The sequence below is a fragment of the Homo sapiens genome, chromosome 17 (assembly GCF_000001405.40).
Source record: "Homo sapiens chromosome 17, GRCh38.p14 Primary Assembly".
Taxonomy (NCBI): domain Eukaryota; kingdom Metazoa; phylum Chordata; class Mammalia; order Primates; family Hominidae; genus Homo; species Homo sapiens.
In genome coordinates this window covers 68,339,379-68,352,028 of record NC_000017.11, presented here as the reverse complement: position 1 = coordinate 68,352,028, position 12,650 = coordinate 68,339,379, and the positions used below count along the sequence as shown (strand labels likewise).

The window sequence follows — 12,650 nt, the reverse complement described above, 5'->3', positions numbered from 1 at the left end:
TCCTTATGTCCAGTGTCTGGGCTAGAAGCAAAGACAGCAGGCAGAGGAGGAGGGAGGCCCCACATGTGTGAGACCCTAGCAGCACAAGCCTCTCCCTAGCTGAGCTCAATAGTCTGAGGAACCTGTAAAAATTTCAATAGAAGAATTTTGTGGACCTCATCGTTGAAAGGTTTCTTGCACTCCCTGCAAATAACACATTTAAATTTGCACAGAATGTACCGTGTATCTTATTTGCCGTCTTAACTGTTTCCTGTCTGCATCTTTAATTTATTGCTGATGGACCACAGTCTTGGAACTTTGCCTTGTCCTGGAGCCTATCGCAAATGTGTCAGACAGCATTACCTTGATGGTCCATCACCCTGTGGACACGCTGGACAAGGAGGGTGGTTGTAGCCTGGAGTATCAGTACAGCCCATATCATGGCTATATGGGATTCCAAAGTAGTAATCAAAACCTGGAATAGAAGCAACCGGTTAGCACCCCCACGTGGCTGCGACTCCATGTGCTTGCCTTTGTACACCCACGACAAAAATGTAATTTCCTATGATTTAATACTGCAGTGCTATAGAGTATGTAATTATAAGAGGATTTGATTAATATCCCTTTGTAGTATGCATAGAAAATCACTTTGCTGGGTTCTGGCTGTTAGATTAGATTTGCAAAACATCTTGTGATTAGAATTAACCCAGTTTGGGAGGAAGTGGAGAGAATTATTGAATGCCTAACATCTTCAACGAAATTATGGACATACTCAGTATTTGGTGAAAACCTACTATATACATGACACTTTAAGGGATAAAAAAAAAACAGTTGTTCTTAGCTGCCACAACCACAGAGAAAAAAAAAATTATAAAAAATTTTTTAGAAAGAATAAATTCTGCCTTCAAGAGACTTTTCATGTGAGGAGAAAATAAGATATAAAGATTAAGAAATAAGAGATGAATAGGTGAGCCAACAAGAGTGATCACAGGAAGTTACCCCCGATAGAGATGGTGGGATGGGGATGGGGCAGGAATCTCAAAATGCGCCTTGAAAGATACTGCCTTTCAGCTGGGACTCAAAAGGCTGACAGAATTTGGGCTTGGAGTGGTGGAGTGAAGGTGAGGGATGGAAGGGTGTGAGCATTGAAACCCAAAGCCTTTGTGTTGAAGTTTTCTTCTGAGTTCCTCCTTCCTTCTATCTCTTCTCCAGCCCAAGCTTTATTTATGTATTTATTTATTTTATTTTATTTTATTTTATTTTTTGAGACGGAGTCTCGCTCTGTCACCCAGGCTGGAGTGCAGTGGGGAAATCTCGGCTCAATGCAAGCTCCGCCTCCCAGGTTCATGCCATTCTCCTGCCTCAGCCTCCTGAGTAGCTGGGACTACAGGCACGTGCCACCACGCCCGGCTAATTTTTTGTATTTTTAGTAGAGATGGGTTTTCACCGTGTTAGCCAGGATGGTCTCAATCTCCTGACCTCGTGATACACCCACCTCAGCCTCCCAAAGTGCTGGGATTACAGGTGTGAGCCACCGCGCCCGGCCCAGCCCAAGCTTTTAATCAAAGGCTATAGCTGCATATGCAGCTAGAATGCAAAAATTCTCCAGAAAAAGGAAACCTTCCCCAATTACCCAGGTAACTGCTTCAGCTCTCTTTATTTCCTAGAGGTAGATAGAACTCGAATCTCACAAAGAATTGCTATTTCTCATTAGCCTCAAATTCCAGGCCCAGGAGTAGGGAGAGCTGTGTTTTCAGCTTCAACTCCTGCCCCTCCAAATCGTTTTTGGCCCTCTCTATAAGCACCCTTCCTAAAAGAAGCAAGCTCTCTTCAGTTCCCTGTGAGCCTCATGCTTTGGGGCCTCGGTGGCTTTGCCTGGAATTATCTGCTCTGTGTCTCTCACAGGTGAAACTGCATTAGCACTTCCCAGCCCAGTTTGAGTGTGAAGTTTCCTACAGAATTTCCCTGCTCTTCACTGCATCCCGCCTGCCACAGCCCTGCACTCAACCCATTCTCCTAGTGTAGCCTACAGACTTTTTATCATCTGGGTAATACCGTCTTCCCCATTAGTGATGCACTCCTCGAGTTAGACATTAGATCTTTGCCAACCCAATATGTGGTGTATGTAGAATAACTAGTAGATGCTTGTCGTATTTTTTTTTCTTTTTGAGACGGAGTCTCAGTCTGTCTCCCAGGCTGGAGTGCAGTGGCACGATCTCAGCTCATGCAACCTCCACCTCCTGGGTTCAAGCGATTCTCGTGCTTCAGCCTCCCGAGTAGCTGGGACTACAGGCACCTGTCACCACGCCCAGCTAATCTTTGTATTTTTGTAGAGATGGGATTTCAGCATGTTGGCCAGGCTGGTTGCAAACTGCTGACCTCAAGTAATCCACCTGCCTCGGCCTCCCAAAGTGCTGGGACTATAGGCATGAGCCACCATGCCCAGCCTGTTTGTTGTATTTTTAAAAAATTGATATCTTCATGCTAACTTGGTTTGCACAAATGGATTTAGCTACCCCCTAGGTACACAACATAGCCCTGAAATGCTACTGCATCTGGTATCAGGATGACTCTCCACCAAGGAGAGCAAACTTCTGCCGGAAAGAGCCAAATAGTAAACATTTTAGGTTTTGTGGGTCAGATGATCTCTGTTAAGGCCACTCAACTCTGCCATTGTAGCGCAAACACACCCACAGACAATATGTACACAAATGACTGTACATATTGGCTGTTTTCTTTTTTTCTTTTTTTTTCTTGAGATGGAGTTTCAGTTTTGTCGCCTAGGCTGGAGTGGTGCAATCTCAACTCACTGCAACCTCCACCTCCTGGGTTCAAGCGGTTCCCCTGCCTCAGCCTCCCAAATAGCTGGGGTTACAGGCATGCACCACTGTGCTGAGCTAATTTTTTATTTTTTTAGTAGAGACAGGGGTTCACCATGTTGGCTGATCTCAAACTCCTGACCTCAGGTGATCCACCCACCTCAGCCTCCCAAAGTGCTGGGATTACAGGCGTGAGCCACCATGCTTGGCCTTGCTGTTTTCTAATAAAATTTTATTTACAAAAACAGCTAGCATACTGGATTTGGACCACAGGTCTATGCCAACCACTGATCTAAATCATAGGCATCCTCATACCCCAGTGTTAGAAAGACCTCGTTGTGTTTGCAGGAGCCCTGACCTGAGGAACAGCCCAGGGCAGCAAGAGGAGCGTGGGTGCTTAGAAGGAATGTGTAAGTGTGCTTGGCATAACCCAGGGCATGTGAAGTTTTTTTCCGACTTCCTCCTTCATTCTATCTCTTCTCCAACCCAAGCTTTTAATCAAAAGATTAACCAGGCATGGTGGCGGGCACCTGTAGTCCCAGCTACTTGGGAGGCTGAGGCATGAGAATCACTTGAACCTGGGAGGCGGAGGTTGCAGTGAGCCGAGATCATGCCACTGCACTCTAGCCTGGGAGACAGAGTGAGACGGGGAACCAGGACAGTGCACCGCAGAGAGGATGTAAGAGGCAGGAGGGAAAAGGAGTGAACTTGGACATAAGCATGAAGAAACCTCAGAGTGTCCATGCCAGAAGGCTTTTTGGAATTGTCTGGTCCAAAGAGCAAATAGGTAGGAGGTACTCTTTCTTCCCACTTCCCACACCCACAGGAGACACCAGATCCATCATGGTACCACTTCCTGCTGCATAGGAGCTGGTCTCAGTATCCCCTCACCACAGGAATATGCCCTCAAGGTGCCAACACCTGATCTGGTCCAACCCCTCAACTGTCAAGTGAGAAAACTGAAGACCAAGGAGGAAACAAGTTCTGGAGTAATTTTTAGTGAGTGCAAAAGCCAGGTCTTCACTTCTCCCATCTGTCATTTTTTTTAAAGCATGTGTGGATGATGCCACGAATGCCCACCTGGGAAAAGGGGCTCAAGGGAGGAGAGGGAGAGGAATGAGCATCAAAGGGGAGGTAAGAGTTGAAGAAGACGTCAGCCAATGGGGTTACTGACCAGTGGGTCCCTGCTGAAGGCTGGCTCCAGGCCAACCCTCTGAAAGTCATTCTCCAAATGCAAAAATCTTCCAATGCAAACCTTCCGCCAGGTCTAGGACAGAACAATTCAGCCGTTTTCCATAGAGATAGGGAGAGATACTGGGGCAGGGGAGGGGAGAAGTCTGCAAAATAGTCAGAGAATCACATTTGCTTATAAAATGGCAGAAGAGGAAGGGGCCAGGGACAGGAGAAGCCACCAAAGCTGAGATCATGGTAAATGCCTTTAAGAGAAAGTCCACGGCTTCCTATAGGAAATGGAAAAGGTCAGTGGCACGAACTGCAACTTTGAAAAACCATCAGTAATTCAGTGAATTGGACGTTTGGAGAATCCGCCCTTCAGCAAAGTGATTTTCAGAGAACCAGCTTTGGTAGCTTGATCTTGGCCTACTTCCCCAAGGCCAGAGGGTGAGGAAGCAAAGGCTGCAGGAAGAGGCCAAGAGGCAGCATCTCCTGTTTGGGTCTATGGCCAGGTTTCCTGCTTCGGTGAACCCATCAGTCAATTTTTACTTCTTCCCAGATTAGCCATGTCTGGACCTCATGGGGCAGAATGTTCCCTGAGGTGTAAAGAACCGAGAGATGGCAAAAAAGCTGATGGGCCTGTGATGGGGCAGTTGGAAGGGCAAACAGGCACCAAGGAAGGACAGTCAAGGAAGATGCCAGCAAGTGGGATGTAAGGTCCCGGAGAGCCCTGGCACCCCAAATGCACTCAAATGACCTCGTGAACAAAGATGTCCTAACTTAGGGTTGCCCCCAGAGACAGGATGGCTTAGCTGTTCATGGAGTCTTACACAGAGACCTTTATTTTCTGTTTCCCAGGTAACAAATCCCCAAAAGAATTCTTACCACGGAAGTTGGGGTGATAAGAGCCGTGGTGTCCAAGATGCCATTTGCCTGTAGAAAAACATAAGAGAGATTTTCAGAGGAATCCCCATAGGGGTACCACAGCCCCCTGAGGAGCTGATCACACACTCAGCTCTCCATTAGCTTCGCCTCGCACTGTGGACAAGCCAAAAGAAGCTGCAATGTGGTGTACAAGCCAGGCTTTGCTCTCTGGGGCCGAGACGGTGTCCACAGGGACACATAAAGGATGACCCCAGACTCACACGGGAAACCACAGTGAAAGGGGAAGACAGCCCATCACCAGGAGCCCGGAGAAGCCTGAGCCTCTGCCCCTCAAAGAGGGCTCCACAGACACAGCAACCCCACATGGGCTCCTTCACTTTGCCCTCCCGCGCTGGGGCCCTGCAAAGGCACCAGGAGGCCCAGGGTGCAGGTGCACCGCCCCACATCGTCTCAGAAATGCCCGCTTCCTGCCTGGTTTCATCATCTTCCTCTCTGGCCAACATCAGCAGCCCGCAGTTCAAGCACCGAGACACCTACGGGGCAGCAAATGAGGAAACTCAGACACCCTGCTGCTCCTCGGTCTGCAAATGCGCTCAGTCTGGGGGAATAATCGGGCAATGTGTGGCAAGAGCTCTGACAGTGTCAGAACTCTCTGATCTGCTCTTCCGCTCTGAGGAGTAGACCCCAGGGACGCCACCCCCATGGTGAGGGGGCAAAGAAAAGAATGTGGTACAAAGATTGAGACGCTGGCAGCATTAAACCGCTCAAACGAGAGATTAACGGGCAACCACAGGAGTATGTCTAAGTACATTATTTGATGTGGCCTCAATAAGGAACTATCGATCTATTTTTTCAAGACAACTGCATGTAGCAAAAATTAAGAATCGGTGAAACTGGATGAAGGGCCTCTAGGAGTCCATTATTCCCTCCCTGCAACTGCTCTATGGGATTGAAAAAAAAGATTAATAAAAAATTGAGAGAAATGGGCTCTCAATTTCTCTCAATTGAGTGGCTCATGTCTGTAATCCCAGCACTTTGGGAGGCCGAGGCAGGCGGATCACATGAGGCCAGGAGTTTGAGACTAGCCTGGGCAACGTGGCAAAACCTTATCTCTACTAAAAATACAAAAATTAGCTGGGTGTGGTGGTGCACGCCTGTAATCCCAACTACTCGGGAGGCTGAGGCAGGAGAATCACTTGAACCCGGGAGGTGGGGGTTGCAGTGGGCAGAGATTGAGCCACTGTACTCCAGCCTGGGTGACAGAGTAAGACTTTGTCCCAAATAAATAAAAAAGATTGAGAGAAATGTATTAAGCATTATGTGAAATATTTGGATTAAACATTACATGAGAACATGACATTATATTAAAATTATGAAAAGTATTGTTTAATCATAAAAATTATACTATGTAAAATTATATGACATGGAAACATAGAATAATGTGAAAGGGGGAAAAGTGGAGCCCAGTGGTATTCGCACAGCTAGGCAACACATAAACATGGACCAAGATTAGAAGCAAAGTGTGAGTGTTGTAAAAGGATCTGATATTCCTTTGGTGGGTCTTTAATTTTTCCTAAAAGTGTACTTTAGTTCATAATTGCAACAGCTGGATATGCTTAAATATCCTGCCCAGGATGTGCAAAAGGTGTCGTGAGTGGTGAGGGGGTGAGGAATGCAGCTAAACAGTCAAGCTGCAAACAGTTGCTTACTGGGAGTTTAAAGGCATGAAGACGGAGGGGCCAGTGAGGTCAAATTCAGCTCCAGAAGAAGCCAGCCCCACTTCTGCAGCATAGGGGCTGAGTCTGGGACAGCCCTGGGACCTAACTCTTCCTGGCTATGAGTTTTATTATTTATTTACTTATTTGTAGATACAGAGTCTCACTATGGTGCCCAGGCTGGTCTCGATCTCCTGGGCTCGAGGGATCCTCCCACCTCGGCCTTCCATAGTGCTGGGATTACAGGCGTGAGCCACTTCGTTCAGCTGGCTGTGAGGTTTACATGGACGCATGTAACTGGCCTAGTAAGGAGAGTCAGCCCACAGTGGCAGTTTCACAAATGGTGTCTTGGTGTTGATGTTGTTAACATAATGACTCCTTGGGGTATGGGAAGAAAGGGATTGGAAAAAGAGAAGTGTGTGACCTTAATTGGTCTCTCCTACAGCCTGGGACTTACCCCTTCTGGGACAAAGAATGCCGCACTCCAGGTTGAGCTTCCGTAAAAGGATATCAGGCTCTTTAACCCAGAGTGGGATAAAAGGGCCAATAGCAGAGGCACCAGCCCTGGGTCTGGGTAGAACAACCTCCCACAGGTTCACACGGTTCAGACACCCAAGGCATGCCCACAGGGCCACCCGCTTGTGGTTGCACCCTCCCTCCCTTGCAATTTCCTGTATAGTGGAGGAGGCAGGGATCCCAAGGGGTCCAGCTCTTTGAGAGTTAGACTAACAAACACAGGGAGCTGAGGATACTTCTGGGAATACTGGGCTGTCTTGGCTCCTGGAGGGGAGAAGGGCAGTGAGGCAGAGCCTCAGGGCAAGGCTGGGAACAGATATACCTGCCTAGACCTGGCCTCCACCCCTCCAGGTTAGGCAGCTTCTCTTCACCGGCCTGAAACTCAGTTCTCTTGCCAATACAATAATCATCTTCATGCCAATAAACAGCCCAGTGCCTAGCACATAATAAATGCTGAGTAAGAGATGCCTAAAAAAATGTTTTAAAGGAGAGGGAGTCATTGGACAATGTGGCAGACGTTGCTGGTCTCCCAGCAATGCCCATGTCCCCATGTATCCTGCTAATAGAACTGTGGTTTTGTTCAAAGGGAGGAAGATTACCATGCCCAAGTTCAAGTCAGTCACTACAATGCTGTCCCCAGTTTCTCAATCTGGGAGTGCAGCAGTGAGGCGTGGCCAAAAGACCCAGCTCTGGCCAATAAGATATAAGTGCAATTCTTGGGGTGCAGGCAGAGCTGAGCCATCTCCCTTCTCTTCTTCCTTCCTTGAGCCAAATCGTGGTTCAGGGGCCTAAAGTCGCTGGATGGCAGTCATGAGGCAGTGAGCATGAGGACAAACACCAAACACCAACATGCTAAGGATGGCAGAGCAGAAAGATCGAGTGAGAGCACCTGGCTCCCGGCAGCATCTTTGAGCAGCTGAATTAATGAAAGCAACCAGTTACCACAAAACTTGCTATAATGGGAGGAAAATAGCTCCATGTATGTTTTAATTCACTGTTAGGTCTTTTCAGTTCCTTATAGCTGAGAGCATCCCTAACTCACACAGCAAGACATGAACAGGAAAGCAGACAGGGAGTATGTTGGGAATTTGCAAACACAAGGCGGCTGCCACTGCAGTAAATGCAACAGGCAGACGGGGCCCAGAGTTACCTATTATCCCAGTGACGTAACCCGCCTGCTGCAGCACCTCTGCCAAGGTGGTCTCGTTGAGCGGAAGGCCTCCCACAGAAGTGACTGCAAAGTTGCGTGTGACTCCATTGCGAAGGCCAAGCCGGCCGGTGAGCAAGGAAGCCCGGGAGGGTGAGCAGGTGGAGGCAGCTGCATGGAAATCCACAAACCTGCAGGGAAAGGACAGTGGTCAGGACCGCACCAACCACAGGAAGCCAGAGTAAAAGAAAAGGCAGTGCCCACTCAGTTCCTGCAATTTCAGTGCTCAAAGATCAAAGATCACCCAGTCATGGAACAAGTCAGGAAATGGGATTTCTGGCCAGGCGCGGTGGCTCACCCCTGTAATCCCAACACTTTGAGAGGCCGAGGTGGGAGGATCACCTGAGGTCAGGAGTTCAAGACCAGCCTGGCCAACATGGTGAAACCCCGTCTCTACTAAAAATATAAAAATTAGCTTGGTGCAGTGGCGTGCGCCTGTAGTCCCGGCTACTCAGGAGGCTGAGACAGGAGAATTGCTTGAACCTGGGAGGCGGAGGTTGCGGAGAGCCAAGAGCACGCCACCGCACTCCAGCCTGGGTGACAGGAGCGAGACTCCATCTCAAAAAAGAAAACAAAACAAAACAAAAAAAGGAAATAGGATTTCTGGGTTTCAGGAAAAAGAAACCCAGAGAGGCAACACAAGTAGTCCAAGTTTCCACAACTCATTCAAATGGATTTAATCCAACAAATTCAATCTTATTTATTCGAAGATTCCACATTTCAAATGTGCCTACTTACTAACGTTGTATGTTTTTAATCCCAAAATCAATACTTGAGGTGATTTAGGGTCATTTGCGGATATAGGCAGACCTGCAAAGTTTGAGTAGCTTTGGCGCACACATTCTCAGTGGAGGCTGAAGGAGGTGACCCTCTCCCTTCTGGTTTCAGCTCTCATATCGCACTGTAAACAAATGTCCTCACAGTGTATTTAGAGCCATGGCTTTTGCATTTTTGTGTTTTGTGTTGGTGGTTTCACTGTGGAAAATGGCCCCCAGATGTAGTGCCTAAGTGCTGTGTAGTGTTCCTAAGCACTCAAAGGCTTTGATGTGCCTTATAAAGAAAATGTATGTGTTAGGACCAGGTGCGGTGGCTCACGCCTGTAATCCCAACACTTTGGGAGGCCGAGGCAGGTGGATCACTTGAGGTCAGGAGTTCAAGACCAGCCTGGTCAACATGGTGAAACCCTGTCTCTACCAATAATATTTTTTAAAAAATTAGCTGGGTGTGGTGGCAGGTGCCTGTAACCCCAGCTACTTGGGAGGCCAAGGCAGGAGAATCGCTTCAACCCAGGAGGTGGAAGTTGCAGTGAGCCGAGATCACACCACTGCACTCCAGCCTGGGTGACAGAGCAAGACTCCAACTCAAAAAAAAAAAAACACATACATATATATATGTATATATATATATGTACATAAAATAAGGTATCTTTACACAGCAGCATTCATAAAATACAGTTATATATTAATTTAACTAGTGAATGAAAATATTGTGAACAGATGCCCATAGGAAGCTAACTCCATATTTTCCCTGGGAGCAAAAGAGTCAGTATTCCCCAATTCAGTACTCACGGTGGCTTGATAGAACATAACTATTATCAATAACAAGAATTGACTGAGGTCGGGCGTAGTGGTTCACTCCTTTAATCCCAGCACTTTGGGAGGCTGAGGCAGGTGGATCAACTGAGGTCAGGAGTTGGAGACCAGCCTGGCCAACATGGCGAAACCCCATCTCCACAAAAAATACAAAAATCAGCCAGGCATGGTGGTGCATGCCTGTAACCCCAGCTACTTGGGAGGCTGAGGCAGGAGAATCGCTTGAACCGAGGGGTTGGAGGTTGCAGTGAGCCAAGATCGCGTCACTGCACTCCAGTCTGGACGACAGAGCAAGAGTCTGTATCAAAAAATTAAAAAAAAGAATTGACTGAATCTATTACCTATTACTGTATGCCCAGTCCTTTTTTAGACATTGTTGAGAAATACAAAAGAATTCTAGCCATTATCCTATCCTCAAGGAACATGCAGAAACAAGACATTGAGTGACAAGACGTGAGCAAATGTAAGTCACAACAATGCACAATGGCATGTAATTAAGACCCCAAATAGATGAATAGAGCCACAGGACATGGAGATAAAGAATGCTCTAGGATTGAGATACGGAGAAAGAACTGGATGACGGTCCAAGGTTTAGAGAAATCTCCATAGAGGAAGTGGCACAGAGGTTGGAATCAATCTAAAAGATGGGACTGTTATGAACACTTCAAAAAGCACAAGGAAACACTGAAAGGATACACCAGAAGCTAATAAAAGAATGGTTTCCCACAAGGGGAGGGAGAAACAGTATGTGGAGGGGGAAAGCAAGTATCTCTGGACTATGTTGTTATACAGTTTGACTTTCGTACCTTGTAAACGTTTGACATGGCCAAAAAGTAGAATTAAACCACAAGGGGAAAACAAGCAGACCCTATAATTAAAAAACAAAAAACAAAAAACGCTGAAACAAATAAATCCAATCATATAATAAACAGTAATATGACCACACAGAGGAAAGAATCATTTCAAGTAATATCAGCACCCAGTGTTCTGGCTGTACAATATTAATGGGATATAATCTAAGGACAAAGAGAACCACAAAAAAAGCTTAAACTTCACTCAGTAGCTGTTCCACTGGTGGCAATATTGGGTTCAGGATTTTGAAACGATTTTATGTGATATGGTAGAGTAAAGCAAACAAGTAATTATATTAATGTTCCTAATCAGGAACCGAGATTTCCAGGGTAAAAGGTAAAGATATAAAATAAAAGAAGATAATAAAAAACCTATAATGTTAAAATTAATATAGAAGTCATTATGAACTCATGCTTTTTAAAAATACAGATCTCCCAGCTACTATCTGCTGAAAGGGCCTAGAATCATTGACACGCCTGTGGCAATGAGGATACTACACCTCTATCTTTGTTTTAAACCCCATCCTGCAATAAAAGGAATTGGCTCTCCTTTGAGAAATAGTTAATTGCAGATTTGAGGAAGGAGAAGTACCAGGGGAGTCTGGGACATCTGCTTGTGCCAGGAAGCAAAGAAAGACCCAAGAGTCAACTTCGAGGGGCTCCTCCTGGCCAAACTTGGGACAATGTGGGCATCAAAAAACAATTAGGCCTGGCGTGGTGGCTCACACCTGTCATCCCAGCACTTTGGGAGGCTGAGGCAGGTGGATCACTTGAGGCCAGGAGTTCGAGACCAGCCTGGCTAACATGGCGAAACTCCGTCTCTACTAAAAATACAAAAAAATAGCCGGACATGGTGGCACACGCCTGTGATTCCAGCTACTCAGGAGGCTGAAGCATGAGAACTGCTTGAACCTGGGAGGCAGAGGTTGCAGTGAGCCGAGATCGCACCACTGTACTCCAGCTTGGGAGACAAAGCAAGACTCAGTCACACACACACACACAAAAAGAACAATTAGTGTATTTGATTGTAAGCCATGAATAAATAAAAATCCATTAGTCCATACTGACACTCAGAAAAATTCATTTACCACCATTAGAAAAGAATGTTATGCCAACTCCACACCCTAAAAATTCGTAATTAAACATTCATCTTGACACTTTAGAAGGACCACAGTCATCACTAGGTGATGAGAGAAAGCACTCCTTTTCAGAAGGATGCCAGGCAGTCAGATGCAAGGAAGGGATGGCAGGCTCAGGAAATCACCATTTTTGCAACCCCACCTCCACCTCACCCAACCCTCATCTATTTTCTTTTTTCTTTGGTGCAGCCAAATCAACCCATCCCCCAGCTAATAGCTGATGATCAGTGGATGTGTTGGGAGTGGTTGTTCAGAGTGTCAACCGCGGAGCATCATAAATTGGACAGAGCTGGCGATCCCCACCTTATAAAATGATTAAGTTTAGTGTCATGCACAACGGGTACCCTGACCTCGTACATCTCCTGATGGGATGCAAGATGAAGTTTATAAAATCAAGGATTCTTGCCAAAAGCGTTTACCCTGAATCTAATCAAACCTCTAGATCTAATTTCCAGGTTACAGGAAATACAGCTCATAGAAAAACAAATTAAATGACACCACAAGGAAGTAATTTAACAAACCAGTATTTTGATATTCTACAAGAAAACTGGTCTAGTCTCTTCAAAAAGTCAGTATCATGGGATAAAATGGGATTGGGGTGGGTAGTAACCTACATTAAAGCCATTAAAGAGACAAAACCAAATGTAACATGTGATCCTTGATTGGCCTGCAGTTCACATAAACTAGCAATACGTTTGAGGATAATTAAGGGAATTTTAATACAGACCCAATGTAAGACATCAGGGAATTTTTGTTCATTTTCTGAGTATAATA

General features: G+C 46.2%; 1 protein-coding gene across 43 annotated transcripts in view, besides 4 other annotated features; it reads right to left on the bottom strand.

The window, feature by feature from the left end:
* The window catches only part of ARSG (arylsulfatase G), a 192,850-nt gene that overhangs the window by 99,991 nt on the left and 80,209 nt on the right, over positions 1 to 12,650 (bottom strand). For 41 of the 43 annotated variants that reach the window (XR_007065287.1, XM_047435644.1, XM_047435647.1 and 38 more), the window contains exons 3-5: positions 8,238 to 8,425; positions 4,857 to 4,904; positions 343 to 454 (exon numbers count right to left, since the gene is read on the bottom strand). Coding sequence is in view for 42 of the 43 variants with exons in the window: in XM_047435644.1 (XP_047291600.1) it covers positions 343 to 454; positions 4,857 to 4,904; positions 8,238 to 8,425 (348 nt within the window). In the remaining variant the exon portion in view is untranslated. Of the gene's footprint in view, positions 1 to 342; positions 455 to 4,856; positions 4,905 to 8,237; positions 8,426 to 10,692; positions 10,750 to 12,650 lie in introns of those variants that run through there. The other 2 variants (XM_047435650.1, NM_001352909.2) reach the window with 2 other exon arrangements.
* Positions 5,146 to 5,285: an enhancer, noted in NCBI's record as "active region_12646". NCBI's record gives its function as "activates an Ori minimal core promoter by ATAC-STARR-seq in GM12878 lymphoblastoid cells {active_cell/tissue: GM12878}" and the evidence as "EXISTENCE:reporter gene assay evidence [ECO:0000049][PMID:35858748]".
* Positions 5,306 to 5,415: an enhancer, noted in NCBI's record as "active region_12645". NCBI's record gives its function as "activates an Ori minimal core promoter by ATAC-STARR-seq in GM12878 lymphoblastoid cells {active_cell/tissue: GM12878}" and the evidence as "EXISTENCE:reporter gene assay evidence [ECO:0000049][PMID:35858748]".
* Positions 6,687 to 7,187: an enhancer, noted in NCBI's record as "H3K27ac hESC enhancer chr17:66340983-66341483 (GRCh37/hg19 assembly coordinates)". NCBI's record gives its function as "activates a minimal SCP1, AML or CMV promoter by ChIP-STARR-seq in primed H9 embryonic stem cells {active_cell/tissue: H9 hESC(primed)}" and the evidence as "EXISTENCE:reporter gene assay evidence [ECO:0000049][PMID:30033119]".
* Positions 7,188 to 7,688: an enhancer, noted in NCBI's record as "H3K27ac hESC enhancer chr17:66340482-66340982 (GRCh37/hg19 assembly coordinates)". NCBI's record gives its function as "activates a minimal SCP1, AML or CMV promoter by ChIP-STARR-seq in primed H9 embryonic stem cells {active_cell/tissue: H9 hESC(primed)}" and the evidence as "EXISTENCE:reporter gene assay evidence [ECO:0000049][PMID:30033119]".